Here is a 15574-nt window from a genome sequence, read left to right as displayed (position 1 = left end):
GTGTGTTAGGTGTGTGAGGGTTGTGTCAGGTGTGTAGATCTGGGGGTGTGTGGTGCGTTTGTGAGGTGTGTATCTGGGTTGTGTGTGTCTGATGCATGTGTGAGGTGTGCATGGGATGTGTGTGTCTGGGGTGTGTATCTGGTGTATGTGTCAGGCATGTGTGTGAGTTGTGTGTGTCTGGGATGTGTGAGGTGTTTGGGGTGTGCATGTCAGGTGTGTCTGGTGTGTAAGCAGTATGTGGGGTGCATTTGTGAGGTGTGTCTGGGGGGGGTGTGTGGTGCGCATCCGGGGTATGAGTCCAGGGTGTGTCTGTGTGTCGGGTGTGTATCATGTATGTGTCAGGTGTGTGGTGTGAGGTGTGTGTGGCGTGTGTCTGGTGTGTCTGTAAGGTGTGTATGGGGGTGTGTCTAGTGTGTGTGTGTGAGGTGTGTGTCCAGTGTTTGGGATGTGTGTCTAGGGTGTTTTGGTGTGTGAGGTGTGTGTCAGGTGTGGGTGTGTCAGGTCTGCAGGGGGTGTGTCTGGTGTGTGTGTGTTTGGTAGGTGTGTGTTTCTGGTGTGTCTAGGGTATATGTGAGGTGTGTTGGGTATGTGGTGTCTGATGTGAGGTATGTGTGTCTGGGGTGTTTGGGTGTATGTGTCGTTGTGTGGTGTTTGCGGTGTGTGTCTGGGTGTGTGGTGTGTGTGAAGCGTGTTTCCTGGGTGACTGGTGTCAGGTGTGTGTTGGGGCGTGTGTGGGTGTGTCTTGGGTGTGTGAGGTGTGTGTGTTTGGGTGTGTCTGGTGTGTGAACTGTATGGGTCAAGAGCGTGTGTGAGGTGTGTGTGAGGTGTGTGTTGGGGGTGTGTGTGAGAGGTGTATGTGATGTGTGTATGGCTGGTGTGTGAGGCGTCTGTCTGAGGGGTGTGTGGCGTGTGTGAGGTGTGTGTTTGGGTGTGTCTGGTGTGTGAGGTGTGTATTTCTGGGGTGTGTGTCAGGTGTGTGTCTGGGGTGTGGGTCAGGTGTGTGTATGTCAGGTGTGTGGTGTGTGTGTGTCAGGGATGTGTTTGAGGTGAGTGTGTTTGGGTGTGTCTGGTGTGTTTCTGGGGTATGTGTCAGATGGGCATCAGGTGTGTCAGGTGTGTGGGGGGGTGTGTTTGGGTGTTTCTGCTGTTTAAGGTGTGTGTTTCTGGGGTGTGGGTCAGGTGTGTGTGTCAGGTGTGGGGTGTGTGTCAGGGGTGTGTGTGAGGTGTGTTTGGGTGTCTGGTGTGTGAGATGTGTGTTTCTGGGGTGGGTGTCAGGTGCGTGTCGTGTATGTGAGATGTGTGGGTGTGTCTGGTGTGTGAGGTGTGTTTCTGGGGTGTCAGGTGTGTGTGTGTGAGGTATGTCTGGGGTGTGTGTGTGAGGTATATCTGGGGTGTGTGTGAATTGTGTGTTTAGATGTATTTGGTGTTTGAGGTGTTTCTGGGGAGAGTGTCAGGTGTGTGTGTCTGGGGTGTGTGTCAGATGTGTGTTTCTGGGGTGTGGGTCAGGTGTGTGGGGTGCGGGTTAGGTGTGTGGGGTGTGTCTCAGGTGTGTGTGTGTCTGGGGTGTGTGTGAGGTGTGTGTCTGGATGTGTCTGGTGTTTGAAATGTGTGTTTCTGGGGGCTGTCAGGTGTGTGTCAGCTGTGTGTGTGTCTGAGGTGTGTGTGAGATGTGTGTTTGGATGTCTGGTATTTGATGTGTGTATTACTAGGGTGTGTGTGTCAGGTGTGTGTGAGGTGTGTGTTTGGATGTATCTGTTGTTTGAGGTGTTTCTGGGGTATGTGTGTCAGGTGTGTGGGGTGTGTGTGTCAAATGTGTGCCTGGGGTGTGTATCAGGTATATGTGTTGTTGGGTGTGTGTGAGGTGTGTGTCAGGTGTATGTTTCTGGGGGTGTGTCAGGTGTGTGTGTCACGTGTGTGTCAGGTGTGTGTCGGGTGTGTGTGAGGTGTGTGTTTGAATGTGGTGTTTGAGGTGTGTGATTCTGGGGGTGTGTCGGGTGTGTCAGGTGTGTGTGTGTCTGGGGTGTGTGTGAGGTGTGTGTGGTGTGTGTGTCGGGTGTGTGTTGGGTGTGTGTCTGGGGTGTGTGTGTCTGGGGTGTGTTTGGATGTGTCTGGTGTTCGAGATGTGTGATTCTGGGGTGTGTGTGTGTCAGGTGTTTGGGGTGTTTGTGAGGTGTGTGTGTGGGGGGTGTTTGTGTGAGGTGTGTGTCTGGGATGTGTGTGAGGTGTGTGTTTGGATGTGTCTGGTGTTCGAGGTGTGGTTTCTGGGGATGTGTCAGGTGTGTGTGCATCAGGTGTGTGTATGAGGTGTGTGGTGAGGCCCGAGCAGGGTCTGAGGGGCGCATGCGCGGCTCCCTAGCCGGGGCGGTGGGTGGGGGTAGAGGGTGCGGGACCAGAGTCGAGGCCCCGCCTCTAGCCGCGTTTCCATGGCGACCACAGCCTCGGTCTCGCAGCTGCAGCCCCCGCCCCGCCCGGCCGCGAAGCGTCTGGAACCGCATCCTCCGCATCCACATCCGCATCGTCGTCCTCCCCGACCGCGTCCTGCAGCAGCTGCCAGTGGAGCCGCCTGTGAGCTATTTCCACATTTCTTGCAGAATGTGGGCGGGGGGCCCGAAGGGGTGCGGGGGTGCGAGGCGCGTGTGCGGGTGTGTGTGCGAGGTGCGTGTGCTCGCGAGTGCGCTTGTGCGTGGCGCGCGTGCGGATGAGGGTGTGAGTGCGTGTGTGCGAGGCGCGTGTGCGGGTGCGAGTGTGCAGGGCGCGCTGCACGGCCGCCCTCCTCCCTCGGGCCTCCTCTGGCTGCCCCAGGCCAGTCCGACCCCGCGGACCCGAGGGCGGTGGTCTCCAGGCTTCCCGTGACGGCGGGGCCCCGGCACGAGGATCGCAGCCTGGAGTTAAGGGTGTCTCCGAGGTGGGGAGGGGGTACCAGTCCCAGCTCCCGCCCAGCTCTGTCCGCCGGAGGCGGGGTGGGGAGGGCGACAGAAGGGGCGTCGGACCAGAGCACCGAGGAGCCGCTGCCCGCACGGGGGTTGGGGGTGGGCGGTGGGCTTGATGGGGGCGTCTGCGTGACAGGCAAGAGGTGGCCAGGAGGCCGGGAGGGGCGCGGCTCCGGAACCACCTGCAGCAGGCTCGGGTGCGGGGCCACAGGTGGCTGGGCTGGAAGCGGGAGCAGCTGCGCGCCCACTCCCCTCCGAGGGGCTGCGCCGACCCCGCAGTGCAGCTGCCTTTTAATAAGCGGGGCAGCCACAGCCCCCTGCAGCGCCAGGGGCGGGAGGCTGCGGTGGCGCCCGCGGGGGCTGGGCGGGACCCTCAGATCCGCAGTCACACGCGCTGGTGCCCGGCCCGCACAAGCCCACCTGCGCGCACCCCCCAGCGTGACGCAGCATTCCATGGTTGGGGGGGGCGCATGCGGAAGCGAGTCTGTGACGTGACCTCCAGCCGAGCTTCCGTGGACTTTCGACTGAGAGCCTGCACCCCCGCCCCCGCCATCCATCTGTCCATCTGCACGGCCTCACTCACCCGCGCCCCCACCCATCTGCCATCAGCATCCCACGCCTTCCCCGCCCCAGAGACAGGAGCCGGGCACTGCCTCCCTGCCAGAGCGCGGCGGGTGGGGCGCAGGGGACCCGCAGAAGATGCCGCGACAGCGCAGGTGCAGGGAGGGGCCGGGAGGAGAAGCAGAGGCGGCCCCCCAGTTCCACGAGCCGCGTGTCATCCGTGGGAGGAGGCCCCCATGACGCAGCAATGCAAAGGGAAGGTCTGGTGTGTGGGGTGGGGGGGTTGGACCCCACACACAGGCTAGTCCCCCCTTTCCAACCCCGCATTCCGCCCGGGGCGCTGGGCCCGGAACCAGAAGCGAGGCTCCAGTGGGCCCCCAATGGCTTTTTCTTCCTGAAGACGCGTCTCGGGCCTGTCTGCGTTGCCATGGAAACCCGCGATGACGTAAATTGGCCGTCCGAGGAGTTGGATTTGAAGTTTGGCTCGAAGGGGACCCCTCAAGCGCAGCTCCTCCTGGCGGGGGTCCTGCCCGAGCGGGGGTTCGGGCGGAGACTCCTGGCGCGGGCCCTCCGGGGCGTGGCCCTACCCTATGGCGCTGCGGGCCCTGGTGCGGGACTGCGCCCCCTTCTCCGCCTCCCCCTCGCCCGTCTGTAGAGAGGCTGGGCTTGCTCTGGGCGTCCGCTCCGGGGAGACCCCCGACCCCTCCTCCTCAGCGGCACCCCCACCCCCGCGGGCCAAGCTCCACCTCAAGCCCCGGCGCTGGCTGCCCTCGCCCCACAACCACGTCATTCCCCGGCCTCTCGGCCCTCCGCTGCTCCGACTCTGCTTCCACCGATCGCTCCTGTATCTGAGCCCCGTGGCGCCTCGTCCGTCTCCGCCTGCACACACACGGACGCTGGCTGCACCGTGAAACCTCGCCCGCCGAGTGCCCATTGCCCCTGCCCGGGCCACGTGGGAACCCACCTCAGGAAGAGTCTTCAGCCCGGGGTGGGTGGTCTGGGGGACACCGCACGGCCTCTTCCAGAAAGGCCCGGCAGGCACAGGGTCGCCTGCGATGAACACACAACAACGAGGGGCACGGGTTAGGGCCCCAAAGCGCGTGGCCAGGTCCAGGACTGGGGGCCCTGTCTCCCCTCGCCTAGCTCCTTCCGGCTCAGAGTGGCCTCCCCCATCCCCTACCCAGCCCTCGTTCACCGGCCGCACTCTCGCCCACGCAGATCCTTCCCCCTCAGTTCTTTCCCCACGCAGAAGCTGCCACCTCCAAATCCTTCCTCCCCTGATCCTTCCCCCTTCAGATCCTTCGCCCCTCAGATCCTTCTCCCTCATGTCCTTCCCCCTCAGAGCCTCCCCCTCAGAGCCTTCCCCCCTCAGAGCCTTCCCCGCTCAGATCCTTCGCCCCTCAGATCCTTCCCCTCATGTCCTTCCCCTTCAGAGCCTCCCCTTCAGAGTCTTCCCCCCTCAGAGCCTTCCCCGCTCAGATCCTTCCCCCCTCAGATCCTTCGCCTTTCAGATCCTTCCCCCTCATGTCCTTCCCCCCTCAGAGCCTTCCCCCCTCAGAGCCTTCCCCCCTCAGAGCCTTCCCCGCTCAGATCCTTCCCCCCTCAGATCCTTCGCCTTTCAGATCCTTCCCCCTCATGTCCTTCCCCCCTCAGAGCCTTCCCCCCTCAGAGCCTTCCCCGCTCAGATCCTTCCCCCCTCAGATCCTTCGCCTTTCAGATCCTTCCCCCTCATGTCCTTCCCCCCTCAGAGCTTCCCCTTCAGAGCCTTCCCCCCTCAGAGCCTTCCCCCCTCAGATCCTTCGCCCCTCAGATCCTTCCCCCTCATGTCCTTCCCCCCTCAGAGCCTTCCCCCCTCAGAGCCTTCCCCGCTCAGATCCTTCCCCCCTCAGATCCTTCGCCTTTCAGATCCTTCCCCCTCATGTCCTTCCCCCCTCAGAGCCTCCCCTTCAGAGCCTTCCCCCCTCAGAGCCTTCCCCGCTCAGATCCTTCCCCCCTCAGAGCTTCCCCTTCAGAGCCTTCCCCCCTCAGAGCCTTCCCCCCTCAGATCCTTCCCCCCTCAGAGCCTTCCCCCCTCAGATCCTTCCCCCCTCAGAGCCTTCCCCCCTCAGATCCTTCCCCCCTCAGAGCCTTCCCCCCTCAGATCCTTCCCCCCTCAGAGCCTTCCACTCTCAGATCTTTCCCCCTCAGAGCCTTCCACTCTCAGATCTTTCTTTCCCCCTCAGAGCCTTCCACTCTCAGATCTTTCCGCCTCAGAGCCTTCCACTCTCAGATCTTTCCCCCTCAGAGCCCTCCCTCTCAGATACCTCCGCTCTCCGACCCTTCCCACCTGGGATCCTACCCCACTTGGATCGTTCCCCAAGTCGGATTCTTCCCCCCTCAGATCCTTCCACCCTCGGATCCCTCCCCCTGCGTCGGATCCTTCCCCCCGCGTCATATCCTTACCCCTTCGGATCCCTCCCCGCACCCCGTTGGGGTCCCTTCCCTTCAGATCGTTCCACCCTCGGACCCCTCCGCTCGGATCCCTCCCCTCCACCCCACCCCCACCCGCGCAATCCTTCCCCGTTGGGTCCCTCTGTCCTTGGATCCCTCACCCCTCGGATCCTTCCCCCCCCCCCACCCCCTCAATCCTTCTCCCTCGGATCCTTCCACCTTGCAATCATTCCACCCTCAGCTCCTTCCACCCTTAGATTCTCCTCCACGCAGATGCCTCCACATTATCTGTACTTGAGTGGCAGCAGCTGGGCAGAAGCTCTGTGACCGCGGGTCCCTTGCTCCTGTTCCCGTGGTGCCTACCCACACCTGGAACCCACAGCGGAGCCTGGCCACTGCAGGGCGAGAAAGACTGGTCACTGCTGGCTCTGGCAGTTAATTGGACATCCTCGCGCTGCTGTCACAAATTACAAGCAGGTGGCTTAAAATAACAAATTCTTTCACAGTTCTGGAGTCAAGAAGTCCAAAATGAAGGTGTTCACGGGGCCATGCTCCCTCCAAAGCCTCTAGGGGAGCTTTTTCCTTGCTTCCTCCAGCTTCTGGTGGCCCAAGCAATCCTTGGGTTTCAGCTGCATCGTTCCAATCTCTGCTCCGTCTACACATAACACTCTCCTATGTCTAATTTCCCTGTTTTAATAACGATACCAGTTTTGGGTCAAGGCCCACGCTGATTCAGGACGAGTTTATTTTAGCTTGATTACATCTGCAAAGACCCTATTTTCAAATAAGATCCCATTCAAAGGCACCCCTCACTCAGATCCTAGGACTTGGATGTATTTTTGAGGGAACATCATTCAACCCACAATGCACCCTCATCATTTGTGGGTTGCAACTGTCTTCTCCCAGTCTTGGTTTCTGCTTCCATTTTTTGAAGGCTGTTTTGATAAGCAGAAGTTCATAGTTTTAATGAAGTCATTTTATCAATATTTCCTTTTATGGTTAGTACCTATTGTCCTAATGAAGAAACATTTCCCTCCCTGAGACCAGAAAAATCTTCTTCTGTATTATCTTTGAGATGCTTTATTGTTTTGCTTTTCCAGTTTAGGTTTATCCACCTGGAGTAGACTTCTCTGTGTAATGTGAGGTAGGGATCAGGCTCATTGCTCTTGATGTGGACAGCGGTTTACTGAGAGGCAGCCATGCTGCAAATCAGGGTCTGTGTGTGCAAAGTGTGTCACGTGGGACTTTTTCCACCACGCAGTAGCCCCACACCTCTCCATTTCCAATGCTGTGCAACAAGCTAGACCCTGGCAGATGAGACCTCCTCCATGTTCTTTTTTTTTTTTTTCCCAGACGGAGTTTTGCTCTTGTTGCCCAGGCTGGAGTGTGGTAGTGCAATCTCAGCTCGCTGCAACCTCTGCCTCCCAGGTTCAAGGGATTCTCCTGCCTCAGCCTCCCGAGATTCTGGGATTATAGGCGTGTACCACCATGCCCGGCTAGTTTTTGTATTTTTAGTCGAGACAGGGTTTCACCATGTTGGCCAGGCTGGTCTCAAACTCCTGATCTTGTGATCCACCCACTTCTGCCTCCCAAAGTGTTGGGACTACAGGCGTGAGCCACTGTGCCTGGCAATCCATGTTCTTTTCCAAGATACTTGATGTGTTCCTGCCCCTCTGCCTTCCATATAAAATGACAGTGCTTGTCAAGTTCATTTTAAAAACCCTGTTGGGATTTTGCTTAAGATTTACTGCATCTACAGATTGGGGGGTGGGTAATTTGTTTAAACATAGAAACTCCCAAAATCCATAGCCACAGCCTTCCCCATTTACTTGGGGAATTTAGCTTTTCTTGGTCTCTGTCGACAGTGTTTCCTGGATTCCATGTGAAGGCCCTGCCCTGTCCCTGCTCCTCAGCTCTTTTTACACCTATTCCTGAGGATTTGATAGTTTTGATATTATTTAAATTGAGTACTTCAATAAATTATTTATTTATTTATTTTTGCCACTGACATATAGGAATGTAACTGATTTCTGAATACCTTAAATCCAACAACCTTGCCAAACTCACTTTTTGATCCTTATGATTTGTCTATATATTCTTTTGGGGTTTCTAAACACAGACACTGTTTCATGGGTGAATCAATCAGAGTTTTACTTTTTCTTGTCTGGCACTGGAGCTCTTTCTTTGTCCTGCCCTACAGCATTGGCTGAGACCTCCAGCACCATAACTTGTAGAACCGCAGATCGAGGCACTTTCAGGATTCACATTCAGTGAGGTTTGCTGTGGGGATTTAGTGGTTCACTGTTACCGGGTTACAGCACTCGCCTCCTGCCTTAATGCACTAATGGGTCCGAGGAATAGTAAATGAGCCCTGAGTCTTACCCAGAGTTACTTCTGCTCCTCTAGCAATTGATCAGATAACGCTTTTTCATTATTCTGTTAATATGGTGAAAAATATGATTGCTTGTCAAATGTTAAGCCAAACTTCATTTCCAGAATACACCCAAACTGTCATGATATGTTACCTTGTTGTATTCGCTGGATTCACGCTGCTTGAGCTTTGGGGCCTCGCAGTGGTGTGTACGTGTGGCGGGGGCTGGCCTGTGAGCTCCTCTCCGCTGCTGTCCTTGCTGGGTTAGGGACTGAGGCTACGTTGGCCTCAGGAGCTGGTGAGTGCTCCCTTGTCTTTCTGGAAGAGTTTTGTGGACGTGCATTACTTTCCCTGTAAATGGTTGGTAGAATGCTGTGGTGATGCTGTCTGCGCCTGGAGTTCTTTGTGAGAGAAGGTTGTAATGACAGATTCCTTTTTTTTTTTTTTTTGAGACGGAGTCTCTCTCTGTCACCCAGGCTGGAGTGCGGTGGCGCGATCTCGGCTCACTGCAAGCTCCGCCTCCCAGGTTCACGCCATTCTCCTGCCTCAGCCTCCCAAGTAGCTGGGACTACAGGCGCCCGCCACCGCGCCCGGCTAATTTTTTGTATTTTTTAGTAGAGACGGGGTTTCACCGTGTTAGCCAGAATGGTCTCGATCTCCTGACCTCGTGACCCGCCCGCCTCGGCCTCCCAAAGTGCTGGGATTACAGGCGTGAGCCACCGCGCCCTGCCTTTTTTTTTTTTTTTTTTTTTTTTTGGCAGAGTTTCGTTCTGTCACCTAGGCTGGAGTGCAGTGGCGTGATCTCGGCTCATTGCAACCTCCGCCTCCCGGGTTCAAGCGATTCTCCCGCCTCAGCCTCCCGAGTGGCTGGGACCACAGGCGCCGCCATAGCACCGGGCCACAGGTTCCGTGTCTACTGCACACAGGACCTTTCTTTTCTCCTTTGATTGATTGAATACATTTTCTTTTTCTGCTTTTTCCATCCATCAGCTCGGAGGTCATCCGCTGCATTCCTTTTCTCTAGAAGGTCCGCCTGAAGGCGAAGCCGGGCACCCTCGGCTTCTCTGGGTTAGTGGGGCCCGCCCTCTCCCAGCCCCGCGGGGCCCTGCTGTGGCTTTCAGCTCCGCAGGAGACCCGCTCTCCGCGGCCTTTAGCGCCAGGCTCGCAGCTGGGCTGACTCGCGGGTGCCCTCTTGTGGCCGCTCTTTCTCACTTCGTGCGTCTCTGGCAGAGAGCCGCCAGACAGAATGAGGACTGACTTCAGGATAAGCACGTCCCATACCGCGTATTGCGTGGGATGCTCTTATATTAAAAATGAGCTCGTTGCTTATTTGAAATTCAAATTTAGCTGGGTCTCCAGCATTTTTATGTGCTGAGTCTGGCACCCAGCTCTCCATACTGATGTCCGGGATTGTCGGCTTTAGGAGGTTGTCTAGAGTCAGGCGCGGTGGTTCATTCCTGTAATTCCAGCACTGTAGGAGGCCTAGGCAAGCAGATCGCTTGAGACCAGCCTGGGCAACCTGACGAAACCCCGTCTCTACACAAATTTTAAAAATTAGCCAGGCGTGGTGGGGCGCACTGTGGTCCCAGGTACTCGGGAGGCTGAGATGGTAGGACTGCTGAAGCTCAGGAGGCAAAGGCTGCAGTAAGCCAAGAACACACCACTGCACTCCCACCTGGGCCACAAAACAAGATCCTGTCTCAAAAAAAAAAAAGAAGAAGAAGAAGAAGGAGAATAAGAAAGAGGAGGTTGTCTAGAGCAGCCACCAGTGGAAGAAGAAGAAAAAAGAGGAGGTTGTCTAGAGCAGCTGCCGTTGGAAGTCTCCCCCTGCTTCGTGGACAGTCACTGGTTGGGGCGCTGTACCCTGCAGTGCTGTGGGGTCCAGAGGGGCTGTGGGGGTCAAGAAGGTACAGCACCCAGCATCTCGCTGGATTTGACCGGTTTGTCCAAGGAGGCTGGCCTGACCACTTACAGCCTGTCCCTGGCTCTGGTGTGAGGAGCATTAGGCCCAGCTCAGGGTCCTCTGGCTTCAGAGCCAGCTGGCGTGGGCATCCAGGGGGCAGCCTGTGGGCAGTGACTCTGTCTGTCTTTGGACAGGACAAGGACTGCCATCCACCATGGTGAAGCTGGGCTGCAGCTTCTCTGGGAAGCCAGGTAAAGACCCTGGGGACCAGGATGGGGCTGCCATGGACAGTGTGCCTCTGATCAGCCCCTTGGACATCAGCCAGCTCCAGCCGCCACTCCCTGACCAGGTGAGGGCCTGGGCCAGCGTGGGGGCCCTTCTCAGGCTCCCCTGGGAACAAAGGGGTGTGGGGTGAGGTTTGTCTAGATATGGCCTCTTCCCAGGTGCAGTAGAGCAAACAGATGAAGGGCCATGGGGGCCAAAGCCCCAGCTGGCCATGGGCACTCTGTGTGACCTCCTGGTCAGCTCCCCCATATGCCAGAGCTGGGCAAACTGGCTGATGGGTAACCGAGAATTCACGCACTGACTCCTAGACAGCACCCCGCCCACGTGCTGTCCATAGGGCACTCAGCAGGCAACGCTTCCCACCCTTCCCCTCGGGGCATGGCCCTGTCCTGGGTTTAGCCTGAGATCTGGGGGTCCTTGGGCAAGTGACCACTGGGGTTGCTTATAGCAGAAACTGGGGAGAAGCAAAGAGCTCAGCTTGAGCCCAGCCCAGTTTGACCCCCCAGGGAGTCATGCAGCATGAAGGGCACCCCGAGTTGTCCCTGCTGGAGGTGGGGGCAGCATCTATGCTGGGGACCCGGGGCAGGAGGACCACCCCTGCTGGCCAAGGGCAATTCTCCAGCACCCTGAGTTGAAGGCAGCAGGCAGAGTGAGGGGCTCTGTCAGCAGCCCAGCCAGGCCCAGAGCTGCCATGCGCCCAGCAGACAGACTTTCAGCGTCCACCTTCCCTTGGCCTCACTTTGTGGCTGCTGGAGCCCTGCCATCCACCAGACAGTCCTGGGAGATGGGTCAGCGTCAACACCACTGCCACGAAGCTGACGCTGGCTCCCTCCCCTCTCAGTTCAGGGCTCTCTTGGGTCCCTGCCAGCTGCCTACTGAGGCCATGGCCATCTCTTTTCACAGGTGGTCATCAAGACACAGACAGAATACCAGCTGTCCTCCCCAGACCAGCAGAATTTCCCTGACCTGGAGGGCCAGAGGCTGAACTGCAGCCACCCAGAGGAAGGGCGCAGGGTAACCACACCCACCCCACCCACTGTGGGGACTCAGGACAGGAGGAGAAGGTGGAAGGCAGCTGGGGGTGCCTGGGTTCCGTCCAGGCCAGTCTGGGGTCCCCTTGCTCTCAGGGAGGAGAGGGTGGCAGTGAGTCATCCCGCCCAGAGCTGGCCCCACCGGCTGCCCTGCACCCACCAGGCCCCCTCCCGAGGCTGCAGGTGCAGACTGACCAAACAGTGGCGCTCCTGAGATGTTTTTCTTTCTGGGAAGTGCCCGCGAGTGCTGCTTGCTTGTTTGCCCAGTGGGTCATTGTCTCATCTTCAGTGACTTACGGGCTTTCTATGTAATACTTCCTTTCTGCAGTATATCTGGCAAATATCTTCTCTCATCCTCTTGTTTAAATCTGTCAATGTTACTAATGATAGCTTTAGTCATTTTTAGTGGACTGTTTCCAAAGCCTTCCATTCTCCAGTAGACAGATCTGCTAGGGCTCCCCGCCCCTGGCCTCACGTTCCAGTCTGCAGCTCATGTTACCACACATGCACCCACTGTGGGCAGTCACCTGGGAGGCCTGGTGAGTGCAGCCTCCGACTCCCCTGAGGCTGCGGCCCCATCCCCTGGGAGCCCACACCGCAGGAAAACTGCAAATTCCTGCAAGACCCACCTGGGTCAAAGGCCACATCACTTTACCTGGTGGCAGATGTTTCCAGAACCCCAGTGGAGGGGCCACCAGCAAGGCCTGGCCCCGAGGGGTGACGCCTGCACACTTGACCCTCGGAAAAGTTGGAAAAGCCACTGGCTGCCCAGGGCGGGGGTGGGGCATCAAGACTGGAGGGCGGGGATGGTCCTGTGCCAGCCCAGCCCCTGAGGAGCTCCCCACAAAGACCGCCCCTGCCTGGCGTGGCTGAGCCCCTCTCTGCCCTCCTGCCAGCTGCCCACCGCACGGATGATCGCCTTCGCCATGGCGCTACTGGGCTGCGTGCTGATCATGTACAAGGCCATCTGGTACGACCAGTTCACCTGCCCCGACGGCTTCCTGCTGCGGGTAAGGGGGCCAGGGCTCTGGTGGGGGGTGTAGAGCCGCCCCTCCTCCCGTAGCCTCCAGGCAGGGGGTGGCAGGGGTGTCTCCTGCTGCTGGGGGAACGTGGTCTCCAAAGCCATGTTCCTGTTACTTCTCTAGAACATGAGATCGTATCTTTTGAAAATTTAAAAGAAAAGATGAGTTAGTGATGGGTTTCTCTTCTTGTAATTTAAAAAATAAGTAAAAAGATGAGGCAGAAAAGGTCACCCTGCAGCCACCTCTCTAGGGGTCATCTGTCCTCCTGAGTGACTTGTGTGAGGTTTTATTTTTATATAACATGATATTAATGCTCCCCACCTATTTGGCAGATATTTTCTTCCATCCTTTTTTTTTTTAAATCTCTTTGTCAATAATGGTTATAGCTTTTAGTGTGTTTTTAGAAAGCCTTTTATTTATCAGAAGTAAAATCTGCTCCTTTTCTCCTTAACTCCATGGTTTATGCTCTGGAGCGCGCTCCGCAGAGTCCTTGCTGCGCTGGGCAGGTCCACTGGTGTCTGCGCCCCTCTCCCTGGGTGGCCCCTCCCCTTACAACGCGCGACCTCCTGCTCCATGCCCCTCCAGGGCCCTGAGTTCTGAACTGGAGGCTGATCTTCGGTGTCCTGAAGCCATGGCTCCATTACAAACTGTCCGCAGTGTCCCCAACCGCAGAAGCGGGAGGGCCTGGGCCCGGGGCGCACAGGAGGGCTCAGCCCCACCGACCCTGACCCGGCCCCTCCCGCAGCACAAGATCTGCACGCCGCTGACCCTGGAGATGTACTACACGGAGATGGACCCCGAGCGCCACCGCAGCATCCTGGCGGCCATCGGGGCCTACCCGCTGAGCCGCAAGCACGGCACGGAGACGCCGGCGGCCTGGGGGGACGGCTACCGCGCAGCCAAGGAGGAGCGCAAGGGGCCCACCCAGGCTGGGGCGGCGGCGGCGGCCACCGAACCCCCCGGGAAGCCGTCGGCCAAGGCGGAGAAGGAGGCGGCGCGGAAGGCGGCCGGGAGCGCGGCGCCCCCGCCCGCGCAGTGACGTCTCCAGCCCCGCAGCCCGGCCCGGGGTAGGTGCGCGCCGCGGGGCTCCGGCCGGCTCTGCCCAGGTCTCTTCCTGGCCTCCCGCCACCGCTTCTGAGCCAAAGACCCCCGCCACCCTTCCCTTCCTCTTCCCTCCGACCCGGCCCGCCAGAACCTCGGGGTTGGGGGTTGCGAATCCGAGCCCGCCGGGTGACGCGGGGTCCGCGGGGAGCCCCTGGCCGCGTCGCCGCTCTCAACCCTCGGGCTCTGTCTCCGCAGCGTCCTCCGCCAGCTCCTGTGACCAGCGCGTCTCCCGATGCTCTCCGCCGTGTTCGTGTCCCCAGGCGCCCTCGCTGCAGCCCCGCCCCCGTGGGTCTCTGACTCTGTCGCTTTTCTCTAAGTAAAGATTTCACGTCCACCGGAGGCTTCCATCTCTCCTGCGCGTCCTCTGCCGGGCTGGCCTTTCTCCCGCCCCCCACCCCGCCAGTTGTGAGTGAGGCCGGCATTGTGCTCCCCCCAGGGACCCCCGAAGGACCCAGGAGAGACCCCGTGGGGGGCAGCTCCCAGGAAGCCGTGGTGCGCCCAGGCGGAGCACGCGCATCCTCGCGCTGCGTGGTCCGGGCCTTGTCCAAGCCCCACCGGGATGTGCCTTAATGGCGGGGCTCCGGCCCACCCAGGGGAGCCTCGGGTCCATCCCTATCCGCTGCCCAGCCCCTTGTCCTGCTGGTTCCCCGACCCCCCGCCCCCATCTACCTGGTGCTGGGCCTGGGCCCCGGGCGTTCCCCCTCTGACAGGAGTGTCTGCCTCCCGGGGGACCCCTGGTTCTGGGCGGCACCCATGAGCAGCTCCTGCCTCCTAGATGTGTGGCCCACAGGCATAAATGACCAAGTGAAGAAAGGAGTGAATGGGGGCGTCTGAGTGGGGAGTGGGGCCTGATGAGGGGTGAGCTCTGGTTCCTGGGGGCTGGGGTCTCCCGTGTCCCTGGAGCCAGATGAAAGATGGTGAGGCTGAAACGCCAGGGGAGCCTGGAGCTGCCATGAGTCTCCCCCAGCATCCCCACCCCAGCCCCAGCATCCCCACCCCAGCCCCAGCATCCCCACCCCAGCCCCAGCCAACTCCCGGCACTGAACACTACAGGGAATGGACTTCCGGCAGATCTCACCCACCACCTGCACCACCCCAGCCAGCAGCAGCTCTGCAGCCCCGCCCACCCCAGCCAGCAGCAGCTCTGCAGCCCCGCCCACCCCAGCCAGCAGCAGCTCTGCAGCCCCGCCCACCCCAGCCAATTGCAGCACTGCAGCCCCGCCCACCCCAGCCAATTGCAGCACTGCAGCCCCGCCCACCCCAGCCAGCAGCGGCTCTGCAGCCCCGCCCACCCCAGCCCCCGACCATTGGTGGATGGAAGCCCCCCACCATTGGCTCCCAGGCTTGCTGGCTAGGTGCGGGTCTAGGCAGCTTCCCAGCTCAGTGGGACTGGCCTGCTTTGGAACAGCGGCAGTGCCCAGGAAGCCTGTGAACTGGGCCTGCCAGGGAAGCCATGGTGAGCTGGAAGCCAGCCAGGTGGGGTCAGGGAAGGCAGGGCCATGCACACCACACCCTTCACTGCTGGGCTTCTAAGGGCATTGGCCAGATGAACAAGCACACGCAGAACTGAATTGGCCCTGATGGCCTGCAAGGGAGGGGGGCCCGGGGCCTGGGGCGTCAGCTGGGATATATGGGGGCAGGGAGTCTCTGCATGGCCGATGTTTGAATTAAAATACAGCTTTCCCCTGTATTTTATTATTATTATTATTATTATTATTATTATTATTATTATTATTATTTTGAGAGGGAGTCTAGCTCTGTCGCCCGGGCTGGAGCGCAGTGGCGCGGTCTCAGGTCACTGCAAGCTCCGCCTCCCGGGTTCCCACCATTCTCCTGCCTCAGCTTCCTGAGTATCTGGGACTACAGGCGCCCGCCACTACGCCCAGCTAATTTTTTGTATTTTTAGTAGAGACGGGGTTTCACTGCGTTAGCAAGGA

General features: G+C 58.9%; 2 protein-coding genes across 3 annotated transcripts in view, besides 3 other annotated features; one reads left to right on the top strand and one right to left on the bottom strand.

Annotated features, from left to right (window-relative positions):
• The window catches only part of ZNF511-PRAP1 (ZNF511-PRAP1 readthrough), a 43770-nt gene that overhangs the window by 13285 nt on the left and 14911 nt on the right, over window positions 1–15574 (bottom strand). The gene's annotated exons all lie outside the window — the stretch shown is intronic.
• Window positions 2503–15327, top strand: CALY (calcyon neuron specific vesicular protein). 2 transcript variants are annotated; one of them, NM_015722.4, is made up of 6 exons: window positions 2503–2565; window positions 10390–10544; window positions 11384–11494; window positions 12408–12521; window positions 13279–13600; window positions 13833–15327. In NM_015722.4, the coding sequence occupies exons 2-5, from the start codon at window positions 10410–10412 to the stop codon at window positions 13570–13572; spliced, it is 654 nt and encodes a 217-aa protein (NP_056537.1). In that variant the 5' UTR covers window positions 2503–2565; window positions 10390–10409; the 3' UTR covers window positions 13573–13600; window positions 13833–15327. The 2 variants fall into 2 exon arrangements, with proteins under 2 accessions (NP_056537.1, NP_001308546.1); NM_001321617.2 differs by having other exon boundaries at window positions 13119–13600.
• Window positions 3573–4248: an enhancer, noted in NCBI's record as "H3K27ac-H3K4me1 hESC enhancer chr10:135148655-135149330 (GRCh37/hg19 assembly coordinates)". NCBI's record gives its function as "activates a minimal SCP1, AML or CMV promoter by ChIP-STARR-seq in naive H9 embryonic stem cells {active_cell/tissue: H9 hESC(naive)}" and the evidence as "EXISTENCE:reporter gene assay evidence [ECO:0000049][PMID:30033119]".
• Window positions 9174–9253: an enhancer, noted in NCBI's record as "active region_4246". NCBI's record gives its function as "activates an Ori minimal core promoter by ATAC-STARR-seq in GM12878 lymphoblastoid cells {active_cell/tissue: GM12878}" and the evidence as "EXISTENCE:reporter gene assay evidence [ECO:0000049][PMID:35858748]".
• Window positions 14787–14836: a silencer, noted in NCBI's record as "silent region_2974". NCBI's record gives its function as "represses an Ori minimal core promoter by ATAC-STARR-seq in GM12878 lymphoblastoid cells {active_cell/tissue: GM12878}" and the evidence as "EXISTENCE:reporter gene assay evidence [ECO:0000049][PMID:35858748]".

Source organism: Homo sapiens, chromosome 10, assembly GCF_000001405.40.
Source record: "Homo sapiens chromosome 10, GRCh38.p14 Primary Assembly".
Classification (NCBI taxonomy): Eukaryota; Metazoa; Chordata; class Mammalia; order Primates; family Hominidae; genus Homo; species Homo sapiens.
Note: the sequence above shows the minus strand (reverse complement) of the source record. Positions and strands in the feature narration are given on the sequence as shown.